Source organism: Homo sapiens, chromosome 2 (assembly GCF_000001405.40).
Source record: "Homo sapiens chromosome 2, GRCh38.p14 Primary Assembly".
Taxonomy (NCBI): Eukaryota; Metazoa; Chordata; class Mammalia; order Primates; family Hominidae; genus Homo; species Homo sapiens.
In genome coordinates this window covers 209770051-209786326 of record NC_000002.12, presented here as the reverse complement: position 1 = coordinate 209786326, position 16276 = coordinate 209770051, and the positions used below count along the sequence as shown (strand labels likewise).

Sequence of the window (16276 nt, the reverse complement as noted above, 5' to 3'; positions counted from 1 at the left end):
ATATCAGGACACTTAAATAACTACATGTAGATATTTGCTTCTTTTTGACTTCTTAGGGGCAAATTATCCCATCACTCTAACTACTGTGTGTGAGGGAATCTGCTAATACTGTCCTACTGAGTGTCCAAGTTACAAACCTGTAATGATGTTCCTGATGGGCTTCACCAGTGCGGTAAAGCCAGAGACTCCGGGCTGTCTGTGTTCCCACATGGGCTGCCATATAACAAGCCCACTGGCCAGACGGAAGGTGAGGTCAGATTCCTAGGGGGGAGGAGAAGATATATGTCCAATAACTGACATGTAACAGCTGCTTAAAGGGACCAATCAATGCAAGGATTAACATCACTCACAAGGTTATTTTCAGAGTGAATTTATCTGCCAAACCTTCTCTCATTAGTCAGATGAATGTTTCTAGAGTAAACCAATGACCCAAAGTTATCACTGCAATTACTATGAAAATCCCAGCTGTCTGCTTTATCCAAAATTAATGACCAATCAAAACATAGCTTTGGGCAAAGCATGGGATACACAAACTATTGTTTTGTGTTTGCAGTGATTGAAACTTGTTTATTTCAGGAGCCTTGGCAGATCTCTTCACTTTGGTTATTATTATCATTCCTCTTAATTTTTTAGTTGTCCTTATTCTCCCTCATAAGGCAAAATACTCAGATACTGGCTATTTTGACATTCTATTGTCCAGTCCATCTTTTTTCTTACATTTTATGGAATCAGGCACATATAATTTGACCCTTCATAGTGTATTATTTTGTAATGTTGTCTTCTTAACAACCTTTAATTTCTTGAGGGCAAGGATAAATCAAGCATCCTCCTTCCCTCTCAGCCCCGAGCATCATCACAATGTTTAACATAGCATTAGGAACTGGGTACACAACAGATACTCAATAAATACTTGCTGAATAGGGCTGACTTTACAACCCATGCTCACTCAGTTTATCTATGATTTAAAGTATCTTTCAAGAGCATATCCTCTGCTATCATATTGTATAAGTACAAATACATGACATTCTGAGATTATATCTTAAACACTTCAGTCTCTCAAAACAATGTAAAGATAGAAGCAGAGAATGTGATCACAGATTAACGAATACATCTGAGACCCAGGAACTCACTTAGAGCAGTGATTTGCAACCCCAGCTTGCATATTATAATCACCAGGGGAGCTTTTAAATCTAAGAGGCCCAGGTATCACTTACCTCTCCTACCCAGACCCATTAAATTAGAATCCTGAGAGATTTTCTAAAGATCCCCCTGATGACTCTCACACATAGCTGAGGTTGAAAACCATTGGGATGGAAGGAAAAGAACTCAGAAGCAACTGGAAAAATAGAAAAACAAAAGCAACTCTGTACCTAGTGAAAAGAAACCTAAAGGCTAGACTGGGATTCTGACACCACTTGGCAACAGAGCCACATGGTTCCCACAATGGGAAAGTCTTTAGAATTCCCTGTGGAAGTATTAGAAAAGCACATAAAGCATTTGGCTAAATTCATTCTGCATTTATTCTGTAAACATTTATAGAGCACCTACCATATACCCGGTACTATTCTAGGTTTTAAATACAACAGTGAACAAGGCATACAAAAATCTCTGTTCGTAGTGCAGAGAGGAAGTGAAGGGCTGTGTCAGACAAAGTGTTGTCATTTTAGACCAGAGGATCAGGTGAAGCCTTATTGAGAAAGTGACTTTTGAGTAAAGTTCTGAACAAAATGAAGGAGCTGTCATGTAGCTATCTCCAGGAAAAGTATTCCATGAAAGAGGATCAGCAAACACAAAGGCCCTAAGTGTGCCTAGTGTGTTCAGAAACAGCCAAGAGACTGTGTGCCCAGAGTCAAGTGAATGTGAGAAAAGCAGAAAAAAAAATAAAATTGGAGAAGTCATTGAGTGTCAAATAATATACTGCCTGATAGGTCTTGATAAGGACTTTAGCAATTATTAAGATGAGAAGCCACTGAAGGTTTCAAGTAGCAGAGTGACATGACTGGATATATATTTTAATAGGTTCACTCAGGCTGTTGAGAATAGTTTGAGAAAGGGCAACAGTGAAAGAATAGACTATTTTGGAAGCTATTGTTATATAGGTGAAAGATGATTAGATGGGGGTACTAATAGAGGGCAAAATGAGAAGTGGTAGATTCTCAATGCATTTTGAAGACACAGCTTACAGAAATTGCTAATAGTCTGGAAGTGGAGTGTGAGAGAAAAAGTTGTCAAGGATTTTTGGCTTCACGATTAAGAAAGATAGGTAAGATGAAGGAGGAGCAGGTTTGGGGATTTCAGAAGCCTAGTTTTAGACATGTTAAGTTTGAGATATCTGTTGAACATTAAGCTAGAGATACCGAGTAAGCACTTAGACAGACAGCTGTGGAGTTAAGAGAAGAGTAACCCAAATTCCCTTGAAATGGACACGAGGAGGTCTGCATGGTATTGTATGTAGAAGCAGGAAATTAACATTAAGCAAATCTTATCAGATTTGTCTCTACAAATACAGGAAGCCAAACCTCAATTGACCTGGTTTTATTGATTAGTTTCTGAGTTCAGTCCTTTTCCATGTTTCTCATGAGAAATCTTAACACAAGTAAAACTCCTGTGGAAACTGCAGCAGGGAGTGATCTCTCTTATACTGAAATCCTGGGCTTTAACATCTGATCTATTAGCATGACACAGCACTCACTGACTGTCATGGTCATCATTTTGTTTTACTAAATACATCTCCAAGTAGATTGTATATTTCTTGAATACAAGTTGAGATCTCCTTCTTCTGTGCATTTCCTGGAGCATCAGTACAATACCAAACTAATATGTTCATTAATTGAACATGTTTTACCTTCTCCAAATAAATCCAATCACTCTTCAGACCTGAATGCCTGTAGCACCTGTGGCCTTCTCTTGTGTTGGTATCTTCCTTTGTAAGTCTTCCTAACTTGGATAAATGTATAAACTCTGGGCCTCTAATGTCTCTTCCAGAGTTTCTTTTAATGGAACACACAATGCTATGTATACATACACAAGCAGAAACTCAATAACTGGAGAGGACACTCTTTATCATTCAAACAGTTGTAAAGCAGGTAGTCTAGAAGGATCCTGAGAAAACCAGAAGTGTAAGTACACGTAGAGGCAATATCCCCACATTTCAGATGCTTTTCTTGCTTTCACTGAGAATCTGTTTCCAGGATGTCATAAAGCAATTCTGAATGTATTTACTAGTAGCTTACAGAGATTTAAAGAAACAACTATTATTTTAAGTTCCATTTTAAAGTTGTTTACTTTACACATATGGATTGGTTAAAATCCCCTGAAGGGCTTGCTTTTTGTTTTATTTCTTGCTGTTTCTCCAGCACATTGAACAGTAGCTAGCATACAGCAGGCACTTGATAAGAATTTGTTGAAAAAAAAAAAATAAGTGAATGTGGCAAAATCATGACAATGTTGATACCATATTTAAAGAAGATGCCTTAGTTTAACAAATATTCGTCATTTTTCACTGATAAAATTAAATTTGGTCTAAAATTAATAATATATTAAACAGGATTTTCAGACTGAATTTTATATAAACTATTTGAGCTAATTATAAATTAAAAAATATAAAATATGCATTGAATAATACACTGTGTTACAAAAGGATGAGTCATTTATATTAGATTTATTTACAAATTAGTGAACTAATTTATTCACTTAATATTAATTAAATACCTATTAAACACAGATACTATGTTAGCTACCACGGGTACAATGATAATTCCTACAAACAGACCATTTAGAATCTAGTAGGGGAGAAAGCCACATAAAGGGATGATAATAAACAAAGTATAACAATAAAGCTGTACCTAGAATATTATGGAAATAGAGAAAGAGGGAAAGATGGATCTCAAATGAAGTCCTAAAGGATAAGTAGGAGTTTACTAGAAAGAGAAGTGAGGTATGAGGGCATTCCGGTCAGCAAGAACAACATGAGAAAAGATCTGAAAAAAAGTATGTTATGTTCTTGGAGAGACTTCAAACATCTGGAGTTCACAGACAGGAGAAGTAGTCAGACAGGTCATAGAGGGCCCAGTTTACCAGACTAAGAAGCTGGAGTTGTACTCTCTGTATGACGAGAAATTAACAAATTATTTTAAGTATGTTGGTGATATTGTCTACATTTTTGATAGGTCACCTTGGTGTTGAGGTTAGATTTTATGAGACAAGCCAGGAGACTGAATCTAGTTAGAAAGTGGCTCAAGTAAAGGGTCCATGTAAGATATGATACAAGCTTGGGTTAAGGTAGTAAGTAGGGATGAAAAATATGTAATAAATTTGGGCAATATTTAGGAGAAAAAATGAGTGGGACTCTGTGATTAGTGGAATGTGCAAGTAAGGATGAGGGATAGTGAAAGGTAGTTTGAGTTTTTGTGAATACATCCATTATCTAAAATATAGAATCTAGGGACGGGGCTCATTACAGGTGAAGTTTGAATTTCCCATGGATTATTTATTTGGAAAAGTCATTTGACAATTTGTTCTAGAGGCAAAGATAGGAGCCTGGATTTGAAATATATAATTAGGTGACCTCAGCCTGCAGGATACACATGGTAAATGAAGTCAGAGGAAGTCTTCCTAGCAGAAAGGAGAGTGAGAAGAACAAAGTGTCAAGAATGCATCTCTGGGGACCCCCAATGTTAAAGCGGCAGACAACAAAGATGAGCTCTCAATAGAGATAGAACAGACAGAGTCAGAGATGCAAGAAGAACCAGAAGGGTGTGGTGTCATCAGGAGAACTGAACCTTTCAAGAAGAGGGCATGATGATAGTTTTAAATGCAGCTGAGGTTTAATGAAATGAGGGCTGCAAATAGAGATTAGATTCAACAACTCAGAAGTTGTTCATGACCTGAGTGGAAAAGAAAAACAACTCTGGTACAGAAACCTAAAAAACAGTGTAGTTTTGTAGAAAATCAGATAGGATTGGGTTTGAATTCCATCTTGGTTACTCACAGTCTTTACTATTATCTCTCTGGATCTCAATTTCCCTCTTGGTAAAATGGAGACAAAGATACACACATCCCTGTGGGTAGTTGTAAAAATTAGAAATGGCAGTGAAAATTTTCTGTCACATAATAGAGGCAAATAGAAGCAAGAATAAGAGATTGAAGAGTAAGTAAATGGGAGGTGAGGATATGGAGGCATGGGTTCATGCTTTGATTACATGTTGGCTTCCCATGCCTCCTATAGCACCATGTCTTATACAAGCCCCATCCTGCAACACTAAGTGCTGAGTGGGAACCTGAGGGGAAAAATCAAGGAAAGGACTGACAAGCTGGGCAGCGCAGCACACTGGGTTTAGAGACTACAGCGTTGCAGAAACATTAGTCTGAATGGTTGTGTGGTTTCCCCAGCAGCATGCAGATTTCTGGGTAGGGATAGAAAATGTGAATTTTGGTCTTGATCTGGAGTTGGAGTCATGAAAGGCAACTGCAAAGAAGCATAGGGATTAAAGGATGTTAATGGTGCTGGTGAGGGGAAGTTTACATGGGTAGGGAAAGACCATAGGCTCCAACAGAACCTGATAACGGCAGGCAAATGAAAGATGTAAGGCGGTGGCTCTCAATCAGGACCAATTCCCTCCCACACACCCACCTGTGAACATTTGGCAACATCTGGAGTCATCTGTGGTTGGCACAACTCAGGAGCAATGGGGTGTTACTGGCATCTAATGGATGGAGGCCAGAGATTGTACTAAATATCCTACAATGCATAGGACAGTGTCCCATAACAAAGAATTATCTGGCCCCAAATGCCAACAGTGCCAAGGCTGAGAAATCCTGATCTAGAGATTGTACATTCCCCAACAACTTGAAAAAACCAGACATCTCTCAAACAGAAAAGCCCTTGTGGCCAAAATTACTGACTGAATGCTTTTTATTCTCTACAGCTTCAAGAACAATGCTTTCCCCATAGCAATGACAAAATGATTAAACTATAATGATAATATAATAAAAATGATAAATATATTATTACCACTAACTATAATTGTTTATTTATATCAATCACTGTGTAGTATTTTGTATGAATTGTCTTACTCCTTTATAAATGCTCCATTCCCAAGCCATAAGTTAAACATGAGGGTCTTAAGTCAGCTTTTCGAATTATTTGAGTAGTCACTCCTGAAGGGAGATCTTGCTCCTTTTCTACTAATAATACATAATACCAGCAGCAATAAAATACCAACACTAAAGACAACTAACATTTGTTAATGAATTTCTTTGTATCAAGTTGAATACTATAACTTGTTTAATCTTCACAATGCCCTATAAATTTATTCTTAGGTCCAATTTATACTTGAGAAAATGGAGGCTTATAAATTATTTGCTCAATGTCTTACAGTAGAGCACAGCAGGCACTGGATTCAAATACAGGCTTATCTGTTTCCAAAACTTAGACTCACAGCTATGTCTTAAAAATAAAATTACATCCACCCTGGGCACTCCTATATTCCCACATTTTTCCAGGTGATATTTGTCAACATATAAACATCTTTTTTGGGCTACTTTTAAAGAAGACTTGTTTCCTGTCCTCTCCATTTTAAAGGCTTCATTTCTAAAAATGCTGTTTTTAGCACTTGGATCAGCTTCCAATAATGACAAGTCTACTCAGTGTGTCAGTCATTAAATATTTATTGAGAGTCTCATATATGACAGACACTATTTGAGACACTAGAGATACAGCTGTCACCAGGACAGGCAGACTCCCTTCACTCAAGGACCTCTGTTCAGTGAGGGTGAAGGGCAACAAACATGCAGACAAATGCATAAATAATTCCAGGTACTTGTAAGTGCTAACAAGGAAAAAAATGTAGGATAGCATGCTAGTTGCTCGAGAGTAGCCAGGGAAGTACTTTCTGAAGTGTTGCCATTTGAGTTCTGAGTAAACCAATGACAAGTACATGGCTATGTGAAAATCTGAGTGTAGAAGGTAGGGTCAGTGTTTCAAGTTGAAAAAAACAGTGTAAGGATCTGAACACAAAAATGCACTTGTCAAGTTTGAGGGTGAGAATCCCACAAGCCTGAAGATGGTTAGTGAATGAGAGAAAGGCCAGTGAGATAGAGGGAGATGAGGCCCAGGAGGTGCACAGGGGTAGGTCCTGCAGAGCTCACAGGCCAGGTGGACAGTCCCTATTAAAGCAGTGCTTCCTACTAAGTATCACCTGTATAAAATACTTTAAAATGGGAAGCTAGAGATTTTAAAATGGCAAGTTAATTTGACTTGACACCTAAAGAGTTTAGTATGTTTGATGGGCAATGTGGCCAGTGTATGTGTTGCATTTTGGGAATTTATAGGTGGTTTCAAATCTATTTCTCCTAGCAATGGACAGAGTTAATGGAAAGTGAATTTTTTAGGAAACTAAAAATGAATGAAAATACTCACTAGTCTGTTCCCTTCATGGTGACTGTTAATGTTCACAACCACCTTCATAAATATATTACTAACTTGAACCACTGCTAACTTGATCCATTCACTGGGTTATAATATTCTATTAAAGAGCAGATGAACATGTCAATTCTTATCTTAGCACTTAAGTGAAATTTGTTAATTTATTCATTCACAGAAGTAACGAATAGTTCTTGATTTCTTTTCATGCATTGGAACTGCAGTGTGTGTCTTACATATATATTCACCCCGTGTTAGAGCAACTGAGGGGTTAAGTAATATCAACAAAATCACACAGCTAAAAAGTGATGGCACAGTGATTTCAAATTATATTGTCTCCTCCAAGTGGATATGATTGTATTTTGAGATAACTGGTTTCCATGTAATCCTATGTTTTGTATTTTAAGCATTTAAAAATATTTTAAAAAGCAATTCTTAGGCTATACCCTACTGTCTAAAAGTCCATAGAACATAAAAAGTTAAAACTTATTTTTTTTTCATTTTAAGACAGAGTCTCGCTTTGTCACCCAGGCTGGAGTACAGTGGCACGATCTAGGTTGACTGCAGCCTGTGCCTCCCAGGTTCAAGAGATTCTCCTGCCTCAGCCTCCCGAGTAGCTGGGACTGCAGATGTGCACTACGCCTGGCTAATTTTTGTATTTTCATTAGAGATGGAGTTTTGCCATGTTGGCCAGGCTGGCCTGGAACTCCTGACCTCAAGTGATTCACCTGCCTCTGCCTCCCAAAGTTCTGGGATTACAGGTGTGAGCCACCGCGCCTGGCTAAAACTTAGACCCTGTATTATAAGAGAGGTAGTTACAAGATGCTATAAAAATGCAAAGGGGGTAGGAATGAAGTCTAGATGGTGAGGTCTAAGGAATAGCTTCATGTTAAATATGATATTAAAGTTGCATTTTGAGGACTATGACAGGAATAGAGCGGGGAAAGGAGAATAGAGCAATCAGCAAGGGCATATTCAGGGAATGGCTGTCATGGTTTCAAATGCTGGATCATGAGGTGGCCAGTAGGGACCAACAGTCTATAAATCAAGAAAGCAATTTAAACCCTACATCATGCTTGACCTTTTATTCTATGCTTAATATGTTGGGCATTATCATGAGGCAGAGGGAGAACCACTGAAGATTTTTAAGTAGGTAAAGGCTTTGTGGAAATTTGTGTTTTTGAAGCAATGTTCAGTAGTTTAACACAGAAATAAAGTTCTCCATGCCTTGACTTGCTGTAAGGTCATACAAAGACATGCCCAACCAAATATGGAAATATCATTTGAAGTCTACCCTCACCACATCTCCACCCACTCCAGCTCTAACACTGGGTTTCTGCTTACCTTGATCCTGTGTACCAGGGGAGCAAACAGAAACACGAAGAGCTCCACAGTAGCCATGGAGTTCTGGAAGATCTTTCTTCGGTTGTTCTCTTCTTCGTCATTAGAGCTGCTTTGGCAAGGCTGCCCTGGAGAACCCTGGTTTTCAACCTGGTGGATGAAAGCACTGCTGCTTCCACCCCAGCTGGAGCCTCGGTCTGTACCCCCAAACCGCTCATTGTTGCAGTCCTGGGGGGCCTCCAGAAGCATCCAGTGTAGAGTGTGAAGGAGCTTTGTCTCAGCAACACCCAATTTATCCTGGTGGCCTGCATGGGACAATTACACAGGCAGGTTAAGAAAAACTCTGTGACCAGGGCAATAGATGTCAACAATGGGTCTGGGAAGAATATCCCTCCTTTCTCTATACTTCTTACAACCACTGCTAGCAGGGCTCATTCTTGCTTTTTGGACTTCCCTACTGGCCGCAATCTCTGCAGAATGATATGCTGCCATGGGGGCAGAAACTGCTGAATCACTTTTCTTCAGTTAGGTACCCAAATATATTTCCAAATAGGCAGCGTAGTGGTTAAAAATATAGACTCTGAAGATAAAAGCAATCCTATTTTAGACAATGTGACCTAGAAAGGTCCCTCTATAGGAGTGATATTTGAGCAGAGGCTCAAACAAGGGGAGGAAATGGGATGGAGAAGAGTATGTACGCTAACGTGGGGTACATGGGTAGGACACATTGCCAGATGAAAAAAGCAATCTGTAAAATATTCTAAAAAATAGTTCTTATGCACATGTGCACACATACTCATACACAGTACTACAAAGCTGGAAAATGTCTGAGGCAAATATGCCCAGTTCATGAGAGTGGTTGCTTTAGGAACTGAGAGAACAAAAAGGATGACCTTGGCTAGGACTCATCTTGGGCAGGTGAAGGTCTTAGCTTGCCTCTAATATTTTAATTTTTTTGTGTTGTTTTTGTTTGTTTGTTTTTGAGACGGAGTCTCACTTTGTCACCTAGGCTGGAATGCAGTGGTGCGATCCCAGCTAACTGTAACCTCCGCCTCCCAGGTTCAAGTGATTCTCCTGCCTCAGCCTCTCGAGTAGCTGGGATTACAGGTGTGCACCACCATGCTCAGGTAATTTTGTATTTTTAGTAGAAACGGGGTTTCACCATGTTGGCTAGTCTGGTCTCGAACTCCCGACCTCAGGTGATCAGCCTGCCTCGGCCTCCCAAAGTGGTGGGATTACAGGCATGAGCCACCACACCCAGCCTATCTTAATGTTAAAAGGAGAATATATTCATATATTACTTGTAAAATTAAAAAATTAAAAACAAGACAGCCAGTTTCTTTATCGGTAAAATGAAAATAATGAGTATAAGTGTGAGGAGGATTTTGTGATAATTAAATGAGATAATATATGCACAGTGCTTGAGAAAACAGAAACTACTCAGTACAGGTTATTATGATGAGTGTTGAACACAAAGGGCAATCACATGCAATAAAGAAGTAATGCGGGGCACCAACCTAGCTTGTTTCGGTTTGAAAGCAGGGTTGCAGTGCAGTGGAGGACATGAGGCAAAGCAGCTTGCACCAGTTCCCATCTGGAAATGCTCTGGATGGCTTCAGAGAGAGCTGGAGAGAGGCCATGCAGCTTGTTTTCTACCAACACTCGCTCAAAGGACTGTAAATACAAAAACAAAAACAATAAGAAAAGCCAAAATCCAAAACCACGTAAACTAAGAAATTGAAGATTCTGGTTAGTGAAAAAATGAACAGCAAGGTACTGTACCCCTTAAAAGATGCAAATTACTGGACCAAATTCTTTAGGGAGAACTCATTGCATTTTCTTGTATATGTTGATGTGCAATGGGTCAGTAATAATTTTCTATTATCTACCCATTTGCAGGCTTTTGAGCCAAAGTAAATGGCTTGAATTAACAAAACGATTTTTATTTCTGTTAAAATAAGCTTCCTCTAACAAATAGGAACAAAACATTTAACCTCATGAGATTTTTGGATGTATATTTTATAAAATGTTGCCGAGTCATCCAAAAGACTGTCACAACTGCAGACCAAAATAAGTTTTTTGTGAAAGTGTCTTGAGAAATAGAATTTATGTCAGTTTCTTCAACTGGTGTTAAGATACAACTTTGGAATCCCTGATTTATCTCATGGCTTAGCAATGACCCGGCACAGAACACTCTCTACCTAATGCCTGGAACAATAAAAGATACTTAATATATCTGTGGAATAAAGAAAGAAAGGAAGGGAGAGCAGGAAGGAGGGAGGGAGGAGGAAAATAAGCCATCTTTACTTTGCTGGTTATTAAATTTTCTATCCTTGCCAGGGATACTCAGAGAGTATCAGAGAGTGTAGCACTCCGGAACAAGTAACAACTCTGACCTACTTAATTATTGTTTTTTCTTTTGAGGGAGGAGAGAATATCACTGTAAGGTGTTGGAGAAAATGTAGTTACGAAATATTGGAATAAATTTAATAAACATTTGGCATGTAAGAACAGGATTGGTACTTGATGCCCCAGTCAATAAAATTGTATAAATGTTCTATATAATAATCATAAACAAGTCCCAAGTGTTCAAACTGTATTATTGGAATTATTAGGATACCAATAATGTGAGAAAGACAGGTATCCTAATATGGCTTACTACAGAGATATCCAAAGAAAACTTTTTACTTTTTGATTCAAAAAAAGAAAAATAAGAAATTCACCTTTATAATGAAGGGCACACTGAGGTTTTGGTAAAGAGCATAATGAGAGATGTAGTATTTTGCTTTAAGAAACTAGATAAAGGCCTTTAGATATGTTGGTGATATAAATACAAATATTATAAAATCATCAGCCCTCAGATATCTAAGTATTCATTAAGTAAAGGATGCATATATTAGACACTAAAAGATTATAAAGAATTTATACACTCTAATGAATATATTGTAGAGGATGAGTTATGCATTTCATAATCTCAGAGTATTCCGGGTAATGTCATTTTCTCATTAAGTGTCACTAATACAACTTTTAATAATTTTTTTAAAACTTGGGAAATTGTTTTCTATATTGAGATATATATATATCTATCCCTATCTATTAACGTAACTTTTTGATATTGTGTGACTGCATTAAAAATGCCAAAAATATCTTCGCCAAGAACAGAGAAAGTCAGGATTATTTTAAGCTAGTATAATTGTCAGCATGGTTAAGAAAGTCTGAGATTTCAAGTGTCAAATTACTCTAACAAGCTAAATTCAATGACAAATTCCATTAAAAGGTCCTTATAAGAAAGTTATATTTTAAAAAATGTGTTTGTGACAACATTGAAAGATAGGAGATGCAACAAAACAAATTCCTACGTGAGTGGGCATGTATGTGTTTAACTTTCCAGTTGGCTTCCATCAGAATTTTTTGCCCTAACACATCTCAGAGCTCCTTACCACAAGGTCATCCACATAGCTATTTGTAAATATGCATGGCAATATCCAAATTGGTAGATTTCCATTTTTAGGTTATAATATATGCAATGTAAAGACTTTTAGGTAAGCTCCAAATATTAATGAAGGCTGTGAAAAGTCCATTTCAATTTTGCTTCATGATTTCATGTCTTATTTTCTCAATTTGTGAAACAAGAATTTGTAGGGATATAAGATTCCCTTAGAATCTCAGGACAAATGCATTTTATTTTGTATAAATATTAACAGTATTATTTTCACAATTATTTTATATTATTCATTTTTAGAATTGGAGAACATATGCAAGACATAAAAGTGCAGAAATGCATATATTTTGTTCAAGTAGTTCTTTCACAGGCACTCCATCATATGAACTTCCACTATAAGTCTCAGTTTTGTTGATTAAGGATTCGACTTCACACTTGCAGGTGGCAAAAACACCCTACACCACCTGGTTCCCTGTTATCTCTCTGCCTTCTCTTCTACCACTCGATCCCGCCCCACCCTTTCACTTATTCCCCAGTAGGTGCTAATTTCCTTTAACATGTTTCCTCTGCTCTTCCCTCAGCTGTCCTTCCCTCCCTTCCCCTTGTGTCTTTGGCCAAGGTTCACATTAATGGGTAGATAAGCCTTATCTATCCATTCTTATAAAACTCCCCTCCCTAGTGCTTCCTAGTATTTCTTTTTGCTTAATTTTTCTCCATAGTGCTTACCACCATCTGGCTTACTATGTATTTACTTATTTGTTTGTGGCTTGTCCCCTTTCTACTAGGATGTAAACACTGTATTTGTTTTTATCATTGTTCTATTCCAGCACAGAGAATTGTGCCTGGCACAGAGTGGGTGATCAATAATATTTGCCAAGTGAATTAATATATATAGTCCGTTTGATTTAAAATCTGTCTTTGGGTTCAAACCACCACACAGAATAGGGAAATAATTATTAAATGGTGAAAATCACATACCACACAAGAAGCTTCATATTGCTTCCCCAGTTTGGGCCTCAAAAATGCACTGAAAAATTAATAGAGATATTTGTTAATAAACATAAGTAAAATTATTATTAAAGCATCCTTGTGACGTATTTTTCAATGAATAAGACAGGATGCTATGAAATTCAAATTTCATGCTTCCTTATAGCTTTTTAATGAGCAGGTGTTGAACAGCTGATGACATTTTCTTTTACACGTGTAATTGCATATATGAAAGAGAAGTGGATCTCGATGGTTTTCGGTATCCACTCTTAATCTGAAGACTTCTAAGATTTTAAATCGCCAGTGGTCAGAAGTGGTGCATTACTTACGTGTACAGTCATAATAAAAACTGAAAATTGAACACGGCTTATGGGTCATAATTTCCAGAATCTAATATCTTATCTGATAAATCTCTAAAATAACAATAATAAAGAAAACCTTTTCTGTTTATTGGAATAGGTGTCAGGCCTTTCCGGGGTTGTGGGGGAAGGTCCCTTATCACAAATCCTCAGGAGATTTAACTGGGGAGATTAATCTGAGCAAAACGGTTAACAAGTGGGCATAGCAGATATTCGCCAAACAGGAGCTGGAAAAACAACAGGTCACTGGGCTAGAATTACAGCAGGAGATGGAGGGGGAATTGGACGCAGGAGCACAACCAGTCATAATTATCTAGCTCCCCGCCCCCTCTTCCCAGGCTCTCTGCCCTCCCACCCCCTAAAATAATGTATACATTTATGCGACAACTGCCAATCTGCTTGTCGTCAAACTTCACTGAAATATATACATATATATACATATTTTAATGCGTGTTTTTAAGCTGGTGCAGAGGGCTTGTTTTCCAGCCCCAGAGAGGGAGCTGCAGGCTGTGGCGCGGCCTCAGCGGCGGCGGCGGCAGCGGCGACCCGGGCGGCCCCAGGAGCGCCCCCAGCCCAGGGCGGCCCGCGGTGCGCCCTCTGCGCCCCTCACCTGGTTTGCCGCCACAGGAAGGTCTGGATGGGCAGGGGGATGCCGCGGCCGCCGTCCTGCTCCTGGCCCTCGGAGCTCTTCCTCTTCACCATAATGGTGGCTCCCGGGAGTCCTACTGCAGGACCCAGCTCTGTCTCCTCGCTAGCCGCCGCCGCCGCCTCCTCCCGCTGCTCCCAACTCTCATCCCCTCCTTCCCCGAGGCAGAGCCGGCTCTCTCCGCCCTGATCCCCCGTGCCTCTCCCCTCCCCCCACCCCTCCCCGCGCGTGGAACATGGCTGCGGGAGGAGGGGAGGGCTGGAGGAGCCGCGGAGCGAGGAGGGGGGCGCTCGGAGCAGCGGTCCGCCTCGCCGCCCCCGCACCCGCTCCCTGCTTTCAGCACCTCCCACTGTGGACAGCGGCCCGCGCCGGGCTGCACGGCCGGAGAAGCGAATCCGGGGCAGCTTGAGCCGCAGGGGTACGGCCCAAGAAGTCCACGCTCCGCATCGCAGGCGCTCGTCCCCTGCGCGGCCTCTTCAGCCCCCGGAATTCGGCTTTCCCCGCTCCGAGCTGCACTCAGGAGTGTCCCCTGTCCTGCTTTCCAACCTCAGCATCCAAACTGTCGCCGTCTGGGTAGGAGGAGCTTTGGGGAACCGCAGAGCAGTCGCTAACCCTGGCATCATTCTCACCTCCAGCAAGGAGATCAGGAGTCCAGGGGTTAGCCGGAGGAACACATGAAAATTATTAGAAGTGTAAACCAGGAAGGTGAGGCAAGGTTGGCAAGTGAGAGGAAGCTTGAAAGATCTTAGATATGAGAAGTTATTTTTATATGATAACCACAAGAAATAAACCTTGTTTGTTTTCCTAAAGCAGGAATACAAAGTTCCCAAAGTAACCAGTTGTGGATATCAGTTAATTGCAAATTGAGGAAGAACATTTGAATCATGCTGTGAGGAAATGTGGTTTATTACAGTCCATTAAATGCACTTGGGTGATCCTGTTCGCCCCCAGTGATAGCTACCATTTTCCTTCAGTTGTAATAGTCAAATGCTTATATGTTACATATATTAATATTTTATAGTTGGATTGCTGTTAGATATATTATCTAGGAGTAAAACAAGTAGGCCGGGGAGGGGGGTGAGGTGGGGTGAAGCAATCGGAATAGTAACTACCTGCAATTCCTCCTCCTCCCCCTCCTCCTTCTCCTTCTTCCTCCTCCTCCTCCCCCTTCTCCTCCTCCTCCTCTTCTCCTCCTTCTCCTTCTTTCTTCTTTCTTGTTCTTTGACGGAATCTCGCTCTTCAACCAGGCTGGAGTGCAGACGTGTGATCACGACTCACTGCAGCCTTGACCTCCCAGGCTCAAGAGATCCTCTCAGCTCAGTCTCCCCAACAGTTGGGACTACAGGTGTGCACCACTACTCCCAGCTAATTTTTTATTTTTGTAGAGATGGGGGTCACACTATGTTTCCCAGGCTAGTCTCAAACTCCTGGGCTCAAGCAATCCTTTCACCTTGGCTTCTCAAAGTTCTGGGATTACAGGCATGAGCCACCATGCCTGGCCTCATCTTTTAGAGCAAAGATATTGGTGTAATCCATGAAATGAAGAATCAGACTCCAGGTCCTAATCTCAACAGATGTAATATTTCATATATAATTAACAGCATAGTATATATCAATATTTTTTGCCATAGAAATAAATTCTTCATTTACTTTCTTGAAGTTATCTTTTATTATGAATCTCAAAAATATGGATCTTATGATCTCAAATATGGATCTTGAAACAAAGAAAGATTCTAAGTACAGTTTACTCAAGGCATATTTATTGAGTGTATTTTATATACTCATAGCTCTATGGAGCTATATGGACTCTTGCTCACAAGGAAGTCTGAATATTAAGAGAAGACAGACATGAAAAGAGAAAAGAATCATGGGAGATACGAATGCAGATTCAGTTATGAACAAAAGGTCAAGGCAGAAATTATGTGTAGGAATCAGATGGAGACTTTGTATGACAGGCTAGAAAGTTTTCCTAGAAGGCCTTTAAGCAGAGAAGTAGAAACTTCATATCCATTTAAGTGTGAATGACATGACAGGAATGTAGGGATTATTTGAAACAGGCAAAAGTTGTATTAGGAACC

The 16276-nt window shown here is 39.7% G+C and overlaps 1 protein-coding gene across 3 annotated transcripts in view, besides 1 other annotated feature; it reads right to left on the bottom strand.

The window, feature by feature from the left end:
* Positions 1–14495, bottom strand: part of UNC80 (unc-80 subunit of NALCN channel complex) — a 227465-nt gene extending 212970 nt beyond the window's left edge. For all 3 annotated transcript variants that reach the window (NM_032504.2, NM_001371986.1, NM_182587.4), the window contains exons 1-5: positions 14163–14495; positions 13185–13233; positions 10282–10438; positions 8768–9069; positions 138–261 (exon numbers count right to left, since the gene is read on the bottom strand). In NM_032504.2, coding sequence (NP_115893.1) covers positions 138–261; positions 8768–9069; positions 10282–10438; positions 13185–13233; positions 14163–14254 — 724 coding nt within the window. In that variant the 5' untranslated portion in view covers positions 14255–14495. The remainder of the gene's footprint in view (positions 1–137; positions 262–8767; positions 9070–10281; positions 10439–13184; positions 13234–14162) is intronic.
* Positions 12435–12936: an enhancer, noted in NCBI's record as "NANOG hESC enhancer chr2:210638115-210638616 (GRCh37/hg19 assembly coordinates)". NCBI's record gives its function as "activates a minimal SCP1, AML or CMV promoter by ChIP-STARR-seq in naive H9 embryonic stem cells {active_cell/tissue: H9 hESC(naive)}" and the evidence as "EXISTENCE:reporter gene assay evidence [ECO:0000049][PMID:30033119]".